General features: G+C 38.6%; 1 long non-coding RNA gene across 1 annotated transcript in view; it reads left to right on the top strand.

The window, feature by feature from the left end:
* The window catches only part of LINC03000 (long intergenic non-protein coding RNA 3000), a 765,030-nt gene that overhangs the window by 46,760 nt on the left and 702,896 nt on the right, over positions 1-15,374 (top strand). The window contains exon 2 of the long non-coding RNA XR_001742489.2: positions 10,677-10,760. This is a non-coding gene — a long non-coding RNA (long intergenic non-protein coding RNA 3000). The remainder of the gene's footprint in view (positions 1-10,676; positions 10,761-15,374) is intronic.

A 15,374-nucleotide genomic window follows, 5' to 3' on the forward strand; every position in this document is an offset into this window, starting at 1 on the left:
CCAGGCTGGAGTGCAGTGGCGGTCTCCGCTCACTGCAAGCTCTACCTCCCGGGTTCACACCATTCTTCTGCCTCAGCCTCCTGAGTAGCTGGGACTACAGGCTCCTGCCACCATGCCCGGCTAATTTTTTGTATTTTTAGTAAAGATGGGGTTTCACCGTGTTAGCCAGGATGGTCTCGATCTCCTGACCTCATGAGATCTGCCCGCCTCAGCCTCCCAAAGTGCTGGGATTACAGGCATGAGCCACCACACCTGGCCAATTTCTGTATATTAAGCTGTGATGGGTTGGTGTTAAGAGCAACATGTTATAGATTTTAATTTAGGATAAACTGGTTTTGAAACATTTTGATCCAGTTGTACTATTGAGCATATGCTGTATTACAACAACTATGCTAAGATCTGTGTGTGTGTGCAAAAGAGCTTGGATGCCCCACAGGCAATACACACAACAACACAATTTTATCTTTACAATCCAGGCTTTTGAGGATTCCAGGACTCAGAAAGATTTAGATTGAAAGTATATATGATTGAAGGGAAAAAGGGCTCCCAATACAAGCAACATACTATTTCGTTTGAATAGGAAGAGTCTCATTTTGCTTAGAGATGATAGTTGATGGGAGTGGTGGTTAGGGGGGTAGGCTTCATAGAGAAGGTGAAGTTTGAATTGATCCTTGAAAGGCAGACATATTTTTGTGAGTTGTGAGGGTGTATTATCAGAGTAGTTAGTTCTAGGAACGAAGTTAGGTCAAGGGTAAGGCTGGAACGACTCTCATTGTTCATTGCTTTTCTGTGTGTCTCGTAGTCTTATTTTCATAATGATTTAATGTGCTTTAGTCTGTATCAGTCATGGGACATTGGCAAATAACAAACCACGTTAGGCTGCAAAAGCAAGTTACAAAAGGCCTCCAAGATTGACTCCCTAACACCACCACAGAGCTGGCCTGCCTGGGGAGCTCTTTCTCCTACTACAATAAAGACACTGGGGAAACATGAAACTGCTGGCTCCACCCTATCTGTGATCTAGGAATCAAAAACCTGCTCCCAAATTTGTTGGATTTAAATTCAGATCTTGGTAGCCACTCTCCACCCAAGCCATTATGGTTTTCTTCAGCGCTGCCTTTCTTTCTTCCCATACAATTCAGTTGTGAAATTGAGTTTCACAGTAGTGAACCTCACTGACAGAACATCATCGCATCCAGAACCCTCCATGAAAGGGAATCTTGGAGAGGTCATTTTTACCTTTGTAGCCTCTGCAGTGCAGAGTCACTAAAAGGAAACTGGAATCGAGGTTTAGCAAGCCAATCTACTCTGTCATTGTCCGAGAAGTTATATCAACACATTACCTTCCACTATTTGAGAGAGGCCTTTTTTATGGAATCTCTTCTAGATGGTGGAGTTGGAGGAAACTGTAAAATAGAGATGTCACATGCCATACCAGACATTGTGAATTGATCCTTTCACTTATACCAGTGAGCTGTAATAAGCAACCTCCAAATATTTGCTCCCAAAATTTGCTCCCAGAGTTGATGCATTAGCTAAAAATCTCTATGGCGTTTCTGGCCAAGGACATGGAATAATGTAGAAAGACAAGCCACAGAAAGTCAAAATAAGGCCCAGAAATATTGGGCATGCTAAATAAATGAAGGGTTAAGTCAAGCCTCATCACAGTTTTGTTTAAGGCTAACCCCAGAAATAAAAGTTTTATTTCAATCACTGCAATTATTTATACTTTCCTCAATCGAGGAACATTATTCCTGAGGTCTTGGCTAGAACTTTATGCAGCCATAGAAAAAGTGGCACAATGACCTAGATGGAGAGAATGCATCTAACTTAACTGTGCCTGCATAATTGCTGGCAGCAAGCTGCATTCCTGCAATTAGGGCTCATCAGTCAGGCTGGCAGCTGCCCAGGACCATGCTAGCACACTCCATGGAACCTGTGGAGAGAGCCAGAGTGCAGGAGCTGGGAGACATTGTCAGGCTGCTTTCATCTGAGTTACAAGAGGAGCCACGTCTGGACCATGTGGATAATTGTTTGTTTGCTTTTTGTCACATTTGGAATCAATGTAAATAAACCCAATCTGCAAAAGAGAAAGCAAAAGCCCAAAGCACCTGGAGTATTTTGATGGAACTCAGGAAGCTGAAAGCTTGTTGGCAGCCATGAGGGGGAAAATGACAAATGCTGCACTAGGGGGAGCAGGGAAATGGATTGAATGGTCACTCCTTGACGGTGTTCCATTCTGCAAATCTCTTGAGAGATTATAAGGACCCATGAATACACAGTCTCTGGAATGGAAGAAAGAGGTGATCTGCATTCAGGATGTGATTTAATTGCGCCATATAAGACATAAAATATCTACCCTTAAAAATGTTGGCATTAAGTAATTTGTTTAAAAAGAGAAATAAATGGAGTGTTTATGTACACATAGAATGCAAATTCATGATAAAGGAAACAAAAATATAAACACCCAACACTTGTAAGACAGGAACAAAGCCTGTGAAGTGCAGAGTGGTATCTCCAGAACTCCTATGCAGGAGGGACTGGGCTCAAAAGCAGGGATCTGCCCGGAGTGGAGTTGAGGGGACTTATCTAAGAAGAGCACTTGCTGAAAGTTTTAGATAAGATTGGGGTGGGGGGAGCACTTGTCTCTAGTCCCTAATCAAGAAATGGAAAAGAAAAGAGTATATGTGAGCTACTTTTTTTTCTTTTTGAGACAGAGTCTTGCTCTGTCGCCCAGGTTGGAGTGCAGTGGTGTGATCTCGGCTCACTGAAACCTCTGCCTCCCAGGTTTAAGGAATTCTCCTGTCTCAGCCTCCTGAGTAGCTGGAACTACAGGTGCCCACCACCAAGCCTAGCTAATTTTTTTTGTATTTTTAGTAGAGACGGGGTTTCACCATATTGGTCAGGCTGGTCTCAAACTCCTGACCTCAGGTGATCTGCCCGCCTTGGCCTCCCAAAGTGCTGGGATTTCAGGGGTGAGCCACTGCACCTGGCCGTGAGCTACTTCTTTCCCCTCCTTCCCCATAGCTCAAGATCCTTTTAGTACTGCCACTGTTAGAGACTTTTTGGTACTACGTAGCTTGAAATGTTCATAAAATTATAGATCATGCCAAGTTTATCTCCGTAAGCCAAGGCCTTCCATTGTGTTAGCTTTTACACTCCCCAAAAGAAATTCCATGGCCCTATGTCCTTCCTCTTCAGAAATAGAGTGACCTCTTATTCCTGCCTTCATCTCTCAGAAAACATGCTGTTTTCTGGAAATAATCAAATATCTCTTCTTTGAAGCTTGTTCTGAATTTTTGACTACAATATTTTCCTCCAGGGATATCTTCAGCTACAGGAACTGTAAATTTTAGCATTTTCTACTCTTATCAGTATTACCTGTTACCTTGTTCTCTTCCACCAATAGTATTGAACAAACCAGCCATACTCTGAGATTACAGAGAAAGTAAGAGACAGACACTGTCTTCAAGGAGCTCACAGTCTAGTGGGGGAGAAAGGCAAGTCAGAGAAGTTTGCAGTACAGTGTCATAGCTACCAACCACAACTGAGGTTGGAGTGAGGTCTAACAGAGGATAAGGAAGAAACACTTTGCCTGGGAACATCTTCCAGGAAGTAACGTCTGAACTGGATAGTAGACTGAGATAGTTAAGACTGTGAAGAAGAGAAGGGTGGTTCTGTCTGAAGGAACTGCAGATGAAGAGGTACAGAAGCTGGAAGGCATAGTCACCAGGGAAAACAGTGCGATCACTGAGTGTTTAAGTTCAGCTACACCCCAGGGCTCCTGTGGAGGCTCAAAGGGTATTAGATAACGGCTGGGTCAGGAAGTGGTGCATGTGCCTTCCTGAGGAGTTCTGACTTTGTTCTAAATGAGGTGTTGAGAAATTACTGAAGGATTCGGAAGAGGAGAATGAAGGCTGTTTACTTCACTCTGCACTGACACTTCTGCCTGAAATTGCAACCCTCACAGACTCTTGCTTTAGAGGTAGTACTGTCTGTGAATGATAGGTGTCACCTGACTAAAATCACAGGTGCTGTGGCTGGTAACCCACGAGAAATCCTGGATAAAAGTTAAACCAATTTATTTACTACCTAACTGCTCAGAGCTTTTCTAATGCTCATGCACGTGGAATTACTCCAGAAAGGAAAGATTTACAATGAAATGGAATTAGAAAAATTAATTTTCTGAGAAAAACACATTGAAAACCATAATCTCTAGGAGGTCTTTTTAGAAACCTGAATACTTTACCTAGGATTTTTAATTTGGTAACCCCAAGAGAAATGAGAATCCAAAGGGAAACTTTTGCATTTTAAACTTTTAATTTTTCAAGTTTTCACTTTAACCCAAGGAGAGAGAATTAAGATAATGAATCTCTGTATACCTATCTCCAGACACAATAACTGTCAACTTTTTGCTACCCTTTCTTCATTTATCACCCCCTCCTTCACTTTGCTGTGTTTTGCTATGTACTTTAAAGCAATTTGCTTCTCAGGAAGCACAAATGTCTGGTAGTCTCACTTTTAGTGATGCAAAGATTGATTCTTGGTTTAGGTGGCTGTTGCCTGATACCTCAATTGACAAGTTCCTATCAATCTTTTAGCACGAATATTTCACTGGTTGTTGAAAAACAACGATTTTTCTCTTTCCGTCATTTAGCTGAAATTATTGAAGGAAGGCTTTCCTTCATCATCCAGAGTTATTTATTTACTTTAAAAAAAATTATACAAACCAGCTAGGAAAAATGTAACATTCTCTTTAACTACCTTTTTTTTTTTTTACAAAAGTGATTGTTGCCACAGGTAGCTACATCCAACTGTGGAAGAATAAGTTTACGTTTTGCTAGGATTGTTTGTAGTGTGTTATTACTCTCTCTCTCTCTCTTTGACTGCATCATGAACTTATGGATTTTTGTAGATACAGTATATTTCATTCCATTTCAGTCATTCTTTTGATGCTTAAATTGACCTATCAAAAGCCACTTTTCTTCTGGTTTCTGTGCACTTTTAATATCACCCCCTTAGTCTCTGAAATATCTTTGCTTTGGGGCCTCTCAAGATCTCTCAGACTCATCTTATGCATTCCCTGCCCCAAACTGGATTCAGCCATTTTTTCTAAGGATCCCTGATTCCAATTACTGCAGAAGGATATTTTGAGACCTCCTTCTAGGCATAAGAGAGTACTTACTGGTTCTAGATGCTCTATGGCTGGTCTCAAACTCCTGACCTGAAGTGATCCACCCACCTCGGCCTCCAAAAGTAGTGGGATTACAGGTGTGAGCCACCATATCCGGCCTGCAACCTTTTTAAAAAATGGTTAGGCTGGACGCGGTGGCTCATGCCTATAATCCCAGCACTCTTGGAGGCTGAGGCGGGCAGATCACTTGAGGTCAGGAGTTTGAGACCAACCCTGACCAACATGGTGAAACCTCGTCTCTACTAAAAATACAAAAAAATTAGCCAGGAGTGGTGGTGGGCACCTTTAATCCCAGCTACTCAGGAGGCTGAGGCAGAGAATCATTTGAACTTGGGAGGCGGAGGTTGCAATGAGCCTAGATCGCACCATTGCACTCCAGCCTGGGGGACAAGAGCAAAACTCTGTCTCAAAAAAATATATATATCTATGAATATAACATGTTATATCATATCCACGTCCATACATAGAGCTCTTCTTCATTCATTTTTACAGTTTGCTAGTAATCTGTTCTGTGGATATGGATAGACTTTAATTTATTACTCTCTACAAAAACGTTTGTTATTATTCCTTTCTTTTGCTAATGCTAATAATGCCACAGGAAATAACTCTGTGTTGTATTGTTTTCTAGTGTAACTTTGGGTAGGATTCCTAGAAAGAGGACTGTGGAGTCCAGTGATATCTACATACACAATTTTGCTAGATATTTCCAGATACCCCTCTTTGTTGTTTGTGCCATTTTGTCAGTATTTCTCCAGCTACAGTCTCCACAGCAGAATATATTGACAACTGAACAGAAACTTAGTGATCTGATGGGTAAAAAAAATGGTAACTCAGTGAAGTGTTTTTTTTTTTTTTCTTATTTTGAATGATCTTGGGCGTCTTTTGAACTTGTTAAGGGACAGCTGCATATCTTCCGTCCGAAAAATTGTAAGTTTTGAGAAAGAAGAGTTTAATAGAAGAGAGAAGACAGATAAGTGTGCGAACATGGCACCTTCAAACTTTCGGCTAACACCACCTATCCCCATCATTTATATCGGAGAGAAGGAGGAATATCGGACCCTCACTTCAAAGTGGGCTTTTAGTAACCAGGCAACAGATGAAAGTTTCCAAGCCCTGGAGGGGTGCCAAGCTTAACGAATGAAATCCCCTGGGTCAAATTACCCAATCTCTCCTGATTTTCTTCATCTTAATTATTCTCTCTCTTTCATAAAATCAAAGAATTTTAAAGCAGCATAGGTCCTTTAAATCTTTAAAATCTAATGCCTTTATTTTACAGATAGACCACAGTGGTGACCAGATGCTTGTTCTCATGATTAATTTCTTGTCTGTTTCCTAGTGCACACCTTCGTGTCTCCTCCATGACAGGGGTCACTGATGGTAATAACCAGTGTTGCTTAGCTCTCCTTGGCATAAACAAGGAATAGGAAAGATAAACTTATCCTTTTACTGGGAGAGTAATATTTCCCATTCATACCCTGTTACAAGTTCATACCTCTTAATGGATGCAAATCCTGAAAAGTGCTTCTCCTTCCAATTCTAAAGGTCTGGATATACCTGCAGTCTCCTTGTGTTTCTCTCATCACATAATTTGTCCCTTATTCAAGAGGAGTGAGTCATTGAAATGTAATTATTTTCAATGCATTATCTCATCCTATTAAATGCCAGGGTGTCAGAAAGAACAAAGAACATGTCACTTTCTTTCAGCTTTATGAATATAATAAATATAATAGTAACTATGTAGGAAAACCACAGAACCACATATTTTGGGGAATTAAAAATATTGTTATCTAGGAAATGATTATCTAGTTGGGAAAATAAGTTATCCGTAGGAAAATTTTTTCAGTGCAGTGCAGAGGATGCCTGTCATGAATGCTGCCAAGTTAATATTAATGCACAGCAAAATAAGGGACTGCCAGGTGGAGAGTATAGGCTAAAGAGGCTGCATTTGTATTTCAAATGCAGTTGCATGACTTATTTTATCTGCGTGAGACTTCATTTCTCATTTGCAAATGGGTGTTAAACAGCATAACTAACTCATAGTATTCTATGAAGCTTCAGTAAGAAGAGTTTACAAGTGCCTTGTAGTGAAAGTTCAATAAATGTTAGCCATACTATTATGATGGCTGAGAGAAGTTAAAAAAACATGTGGGGTAGGGGACCTGAGAAAAATTGCTGGATTGAGTCATTAGCAAGTCTCTGGTGACTTTCAAAAGGGCCGTTTCTGCCAACTACAAAGGAAGGCAAAGTGCAGCAGGTTAAGGGGTAAATAGGCAATAAATACTTGCCATACAGAAATCAATAGAAGCAGAAATCAATAGAGCTAAGAAAGTTCGTCCATTTGAGAGACTGGAAGGTGAAAATGAAATAATCAAGTAAAATAGTAATATGATAAAACTTTTTTTCTTATTTAAGGAACGAGTAAAGTAACCCTGGAGAGCAGATGACATTTAACCTACAGGGGTGGAAGAGCAGGGTTTGGTGAGACTGAGAGAGCTTTAGGTTAATGCCACGGGAGTCCTGAGTGAAAGGTGAAAGAGGCCCATTCTTGAGATAGCAGCGCACCATCAGATTTATATCCCGCTAGATTAAGGGCATTTTCTTACTAGACAAACTAGCTTTCTATTATACCTAAAGCTAAGGGACCACAGAGAATTATATGACCCTGACTAAAGGTTGCACCAAGCTATGGCATTAATGAATTGAGTCTCAGGAGCTTGAAATATGTTTAGCTGTCATTTGAACAAATGGTCTTAAGTACAGATTAGGCCCTGTACGGTCTGCTGCAAGGAATGTAACTGGCATCACTGTATTCATTGAGGATTTCAGTAGGGAAGAACTAAGAACTATGAAAAGTATCAAACGTGACTATGCCAACATAAATAGACATATTAAGTAACTAGAGAAATAATCTGTTTTATTTCTGGCTTTAATGTAAAAACTGACCTCAGATATAAACTCTCATGTTTAATCTTCAGAATCATTTTTCTGTCCTTACAAAGAGATTGAGAAGCTTGGGTGATCATTTTATTTAATGTCAAAGTCCTATTTTAAAAGCAATTATAAAATAGAGTAGCAAACAGATGTCCATTCTTTCAGTCCATTGTGATGAATCAAAACAAATCTATCATAACAATTGTATTAAACTATGTAATCTGCTCAGTGAAGCAAGTAAAATAAACCAACATAAACAATATCCAGAAGGTAGTGATTTCAGTAGTTATAATGAACGTATTATAATAGTCTCTCATGGCTAAAAATGTGAGGTCCTTGGAATCATATCATAGATATAATTCCAGTTTATCAATGAAGACTTTTTCAACTTCTCTGATTCTCAGTTTCCTCATCTCTGATATGTAAATAATAATCTATAACCTCCAGGATTAGTGACAAAAAGAAGATGAATACAAAGTGTCTAACCCAGTACACACCACATTGCTTCTTAAGAACTGCTATGGATTCTTACGTCTATTTTGCTTACTTGTTCTTTAAATTTTAATCTCAACTCAATCTGAGGGTGTGAATTCCATGAAAGGGCATCCAAAACCACTTATGAAAAATGCTTTATGTTGGTACATCATTGAGGACAGATACTACCTGCTAGCAAGTCCAAAGCCAGTTTTCTCTCCTGCTTTTGGTTGGGGGACTATTCCTCTGGTTAAATATTAGACAAAGGCCATGGGCGGTGGCTCATGCCTGTAATCCCAGCACTTTGAGAGGCCGAGGTTGGCAGATCACCTGAGGTCAGGAGTTTAAGACCAGCCTAGCCAACATGTCTCAGAAAAAAAAAATATATATTAGCTGGGCAGAATGAATGATAGGTGCCTGTAATCCCAGCTACCCTGTCTCAAAGAAAAAAAAAAAAAAAATTAGCTGGGCAGGATGATGGGTGTCTGTAATACCAGCTACTCCAGAGGCTGAGGTGGGAGAATCGCTTGAACCTGGGAGGCGGAGGTTTCAGTGAGCCAAGATTGTGCCATTGCACTCCAGCCTCCATCTCAAAAACAAACAAGCAAACAAAAAATTAGACCACCTAGCTGGAGTAGTTGGCTTACATCTAATTTTTTTTAAGCCTTTAAAAAGCCATCATACCCAGGAAGCTTCACTTAGGAACTGAGACCCACAGGGGAGAGGAAGATTTCCATCCCCCTAATTTATTCACACACTAAAGTTAAGCCATTAGCTAACTGGCCTGGGAGTTCACATGCCTGAAAGTGTGGCTTGCCTTTTTCTTGTCTGAGCACACATATTTGAACTGGGCTGTAATTATGAGAAAATATCATCTTTGGTGCCTCGGCTGGCAAAAGAAAAAAAAAAAAAGACAAAAAACAGGGTTGGAAACACTCAACGATTGGACTCACACCCAGAAAAGTCATTTTGTGCACACTCTTGCTTTAAATAAAAAGTATGTTTCAAATGTTATAGACAGATACATCTACTGAAAGATTTAAAACAAAAAGACTTAAAATTTCTTGTAGATCCCTTCAAGTATGCCTGAGTGTTTATTCTAAGTCCCTTATGTTATAATTAAAGCCTTACCTTCAAATATTTTCTCTGATTTCCTAAAATGATTTTGCTGTATTTTCCTCCCTCCCTGAGTAGATCTTTGCCTTAGAAAACTAATCTGCCAAAAGACATTCCTGCAGAGATATACTGCCAAGGCAGGAAAAAGAAAATAGTAAACGTTAGAGGCATTTTTACTGCTAAAGCCCCAGAAGCAACAATCTTATCTCTAAGTCTGTAACACAAGCACATTAATCTGATTTGCATGTCATCTAAACAGAGAATGGGTTTGGAGAGCTCTGTATCATCTCAAGTGAAAATTAGATTAGCAATGTGGTTTAATGTTGGCCAATAAAAGAGAGGAGAAAGTATGTTTAAATAATTTTAAGTTTAAAAGAGTAAAATAAATGGAAAATGTACAGATCTTTCTTTAAATAAAGAGTAGCTGCTGTTCTATCGCAATGATATGATACATTATAAAAGTATATAGCCTAACTTGATAAAGGAATAGGGATTGAGTCTATTTTTCTGAAACGGAATATAACTTTGGATCTTAAACACTCTCATGGATCTATAACAGCCATGAAAATATTCATTGGTCACTGTACCTAGGGCTTAAAATAAGTCAAAGAAGTGGATGACTGATGAAATCCCTACACATTTTACCTTGTGATATGCTTTCCTACATGTTTAATTTATGTAGAGCCCTTTGGGGAATATTGACTGTGTTTGCCAGAGACACATTTTTGAGTTCATCATGTCTTTTATCAATGTTATCACTTAAGAAAGTGGTATTACTGTTATATCAATATTTTATACAAACATAGGTCATTTCTAGTGACAAAAAGAACTTTAGTTACTAAACCACAGCTTCAGTTTGATTTTATTTTTCTGAGAAACACTTCGTATTACATCGAGTTTCAATTGGATTTTTTTCACATGTTAACATCTCTCAGAAAGATCATTTTTTATCATGTTCCAGATTGATTTCCACCATCAACACCTTTACCTCTTCCCGCCTGAAAATAAAATATGAAATATAACAAGTAAATCGCAATCTACCTTGGTAAGTAAAATGAATTTAATGATAAAGAACAAATTGGCTCAGGGCCCCCAATTCACTTGTTCAGAGGGAAGACACTAGGGTAAAGTTATACTTCCTTTGATTGCGTAACTTCAGATGTCATACAGTGTCACTTCTGCTTCATTTTATTGCTGAAGGCAGTTGTAAAGTTCTACCCAGCTCGAAGGGGAGAAAAAACAGACTCCACCTTTCAGTGAAGGACTGTCAATATAACACTGTAAGAAATGCACGTGGGACAGGTTATATATTCATTCACTCTTTTTTGGAAAATACAATGACCCCAGGGCTCCCCGCTAGTTGGGTAGAACACAGGCTAAATTTAAACCCTCACTTCCCTTCTTGGCTATCACCCTTGCACAGTGAACAACCTTCATAATCATACATGGAGGCCTTACTTAATGGGTCAAAAAGACCTTTGATATTACTTATGCCTCTCTTTACCGATGTGACTTGAGAAAGTTATTTGAATGTTCTTTTTCCAAATTTCCATACTGTATTGCAGTGAAAATGAAATGAGAAAATACGTTTAATGTGAATAACACAATGCTCGATATGAGTTTTCTCTTGTCCTTATGTGAACAAATCCATTAGATTTAACCATATAAAATTGCCATATTTGAAAGTAAAAAAAAATGGTTAAATATAGGCAATTTCACTAGATTTCCCAACATAATAAATTTTTATTGATAAATCACAGAAAATGTTTTCTTCTGTTAAACCGTAAAAGATCCTCAAATTGCATAGAAAATATGTCTTAAGCTATTTCTGATTTTAAACACAGATAACTTATGGACTTAATACTAGAAAACCAAATAAAACCTGTGATTAGAAGAATTGCCCAATTGCCTTTTTAACTGTTTGACTTTGGTTCCCCAATTCATTCTTAGTATAGGATGACTCAAAAATTCATAACTATATGAAAGCCTCTTCTATTATTGTCATGTTTTTAATTGGACTAAGATTAGTAATTTGCATGTTGGCTGGATAAAGGGATATCATAATATTTACTACTTTTTTTCCTCATATCTTTTTTCCCCTCAAATGTAAGTTTTCAAACAGCCTACTCTTCTTTTATTAAAGCTCATATCTTCTCTGAATTCTTTTGAGATCTGCTTCTCAATGTCTAAAAAGTCCATCGTTAGCTCAAATTTCCCGCCTCCGGGCATCAAGATTAGAACCCATATCTTCAGCAGTGACAGAAAAACCCATTAATCTGTTGTATCCCCCTGGCTCTCTGCCCAGTTTTGCACATTCAGAATGATTTACTGTATTGAAATTTTCCACATTATTCAGCATTGGCAATCCATCATCTGAGCAAATTATATATCTAGCCTCCCATCAGTCCAAATGTGTTTAGATAATGAAGCTTCTCCAAAGCTTCAGTCATCCCAAAACTGTGTTATAGAAAGGTGTGTAATTCACAAAGTCATTGGAAATGTATTATAAAGGAAGGAAGTTTCTCCTTCCTGAAAGTTTTTTTTATGTGCTAGAGAAAGAAATAAACTGTAAAGTCAATTAAGTTACTTCTTTCAAAAGGAATAAGAAAAAAATAGAAATGTGGAAAAATGAATAAATAAAAAAATTTCATATTTTATTCTTACTTGACACTTCAGCATATTTCTATTTACATTAAACCTTATTAATTGCTTAAAGGGTTATCTTTTGTTGTGGCATTGAAATGTGACCAATAGTCAATAAACAAAAGAAAATGACCGAAAATGACGCTGATGTATTTAGGGACAAACAGATCCCACCTGAAAGTTCAGTGTCTATTATGGCCAGTTATTGGTGAGGTTTGTTTTCCGTGTGGTTCTGTCTCTCAACACTCTTTCCCACAAAGCATTCTCAATACCTAGATTTTAAAAACTGAACATTCATGATTTTCGTCCGTTATATTTAGAGTGATCCTTTATTCCAGTCTGCTCAGAATGTTGTAGTTTATACCTGCTGTCCTGTAGCCTGTCTGATTATTGCCTAAGTCCATCTCAAAAGTATTCTGGTATGGACAATGATATATAAAATCCCTCTCTATTTAAAAATTATGTTACCCTCTTCTTGCTATGAAGTCCAAAAAGAGACAGACCCATTCATAACCAAAATAGATTAGATCTCTCCAATTAAATAGATCTCTCTCTGTATTGTTAGTGGAGAATTATGAAGAACAATAAGTTTGACATTAGTGTAGAGGATTTGTATAATATTTTAACAATTTACTCAAATTTAGTAATGAAGGGGACAAGAGGTAATGTTTTCATTCCTTTGACACAACTAAGATACAGGAATGAATAATGCAGATCACAGTTAAATTAGCCACTGAAGTCGAACCCTTCAGTTACAGGGTTTCCTCTCTTTCAACTGCTGATCTGTTGTTTCCATCATCTCTCTAATAACCCCAGCAAGTGACCTCCCACCTCTATTTGAACATTACTCCTCCTATACAAAACTTAAACCACCTCTGAAATTCTCCTAGGCAGACCTACCGGTTAATATAGAAGCTTCTCAACTTACAACAGAGCTACGTCCTGATAAACCTATTGTAAGTTGAAAATATCCTAAGTCAAAATTGGGCATTTAGTAGACATGATGGGATGTGAAAACACAACACAAAATATCCAAAAAATGCCGGCAACAGAATACACTATAGAATACTAGCTGCTTACCCTCCTGATCACAGGGCTGACTGACAGCTGTGGCTTACTGCCACTCCCCAGCATTGCAAGAGAGTATTGTACCACATATTACTAGCTTGGGAAAAAGATCAGAATTCAAAATTTGAAGTACGGTTTCACTTTCGCATCATCATGAAGTTGAAAAGTCCTAAGTCAAGCCATCCTAAGTTGGGGACTGGACTGTCTGTACGTTCTTTCTTGTTTTGAGCAGAAATCTATTTCCACATAACTTCTATTTGTAATTACAGATTGTACATTGTGGTCTCTTTCTTTATAAAGCAAGGCTTAGAATTTTGAAGTACTCAGTCATATTCTTCAAGAGTTTCTTTTCCTGCTTAAACACCTCCTTATGACTTTTTAAAAATCTTCCAATTATTTTTTTTTTTTCAGTACCTCTGGATAAGATTCAGTTTGTTAATATTTCATTTATAATGTGGTTCTCAGATGTATAGATTGTTTTATGAAGTTTATGTGATGTATTTGTTCCCCCCATTTAGCAAAGTTGGTGTGACATATAAAAATAAATAATAAATAATACTTATTTAATATTTAACTATATTCTACCATCTATGCTAAGAATTTCATATTCATTATTCTAAGAAGTAGTTACAGCACTAATTCTAAGAAGTAGTTACAGCAATTTTCCTATTATACAAAAGAGGAAGTTGAGCTCAGGAAAATTAGGTAAAATGCCAGAGATCACTCATGTAAGAAGGTAAGTAGAATATAGAGCGCAAATCTAAATCTGCCTGATCCCAAAGCCTGCTCTTCACCATCTTAACCTTCTACATGTGTGTTTTTTTCAGACTACATACATTTCCATTAAGTTCTTTATTATTGGAATCACTGGGTTTTGGGGGGTTTGGTTTTTCAGTCTTGTTGGGATTTTTCAAAGTTAATTCTTTCGCTCTGCATATTGGATATCTCTTGTAACTTTTTATCATCTATGCATATGTTCAATTTACTGACGATACTCCTATCCAAATCCTTCATGAGAATATGCAACAGCACAGGGCTGGAAAAGGGGGTCAGAGTCAGATCGCTAGAGATTTCCCTGCATACTGGTATTGATAAACACCTTGTGTATATACCAGCTTGTATTTAATTAAGTTACTGTCGTTTGGTCTATGTATCATCTTATTTATTTTAAATATTTTAGAAAACTTTAGTAACATACTCATACTGCTATTGTTTGAATATGTCCCCCAGATTTTGTGTGCTGCAGACTTAATCCCCAAATGCATACATATGTTGATGATGTTTGGAGGTAGAGCCTTTCGGAGGTAACTAGAATTAGATAAGGTTATCAGGGTGGGGCCCCCATAATTGGACTGCTGGCTTTGAGAAGAAAGGCCTGAACTGACAAGCAAGCATTCATAGGCTTATTGCCCAGAGCCACCTGAGGACTCTGCTCCCTGTGTTCTGCTTCGGTGCCCCCCAGATTCCCGACCTCGATAGGCCCCAGGTGTGGCTTAACCTACCACTTCATAAGGTAAAAGCTGTAAACTTTAGCAGCATCTATGTAGTGCCAATTCTGCAGCCACACAGTATGCAGGAGCTGTGGGGATATGGTTTCCTCCACCTAGATTTCAAAGCATATCACAAACAGCCTGGGCTCTCAGACAGAGATCTGTCACAGGGGTGGATCCACTGCACAGAACTACTAGGGCAATGCAGGTTAGAAATATGGGGTCAAAGATGAAGCCACCCAAACAGCCCCCACTATGACAATGCATAGTGGAGCCACAGAGGCAAGGCCACCCACACGACTCCAGAACTGTAGAGCTACCAGAGTGCCACACTAACCTGAGAGAAGTGCACGCACAAGACTCCCACCTGTGAGAACTGCCACATGGACTGATCTCTGTACTGCCATAGGGGCAGGGCTGCTGAGGCCCTGGGAATCTAACTTTCACCCCAATGTGTC

The sequence above is a fragment of the Homo sapiens genome, chromosome 5 (assembly GCF_000001405.40).
Source record: "Homo sapiens chromosome 5, GRCh38.p14 Primary Assembly".
Taxonomy (NCBI): domain Eukaryota; kingdom Metazoa; phylum Chordata; class Mammalia; order Primates; family Hominidae; genus Homo; species Homo sapiens.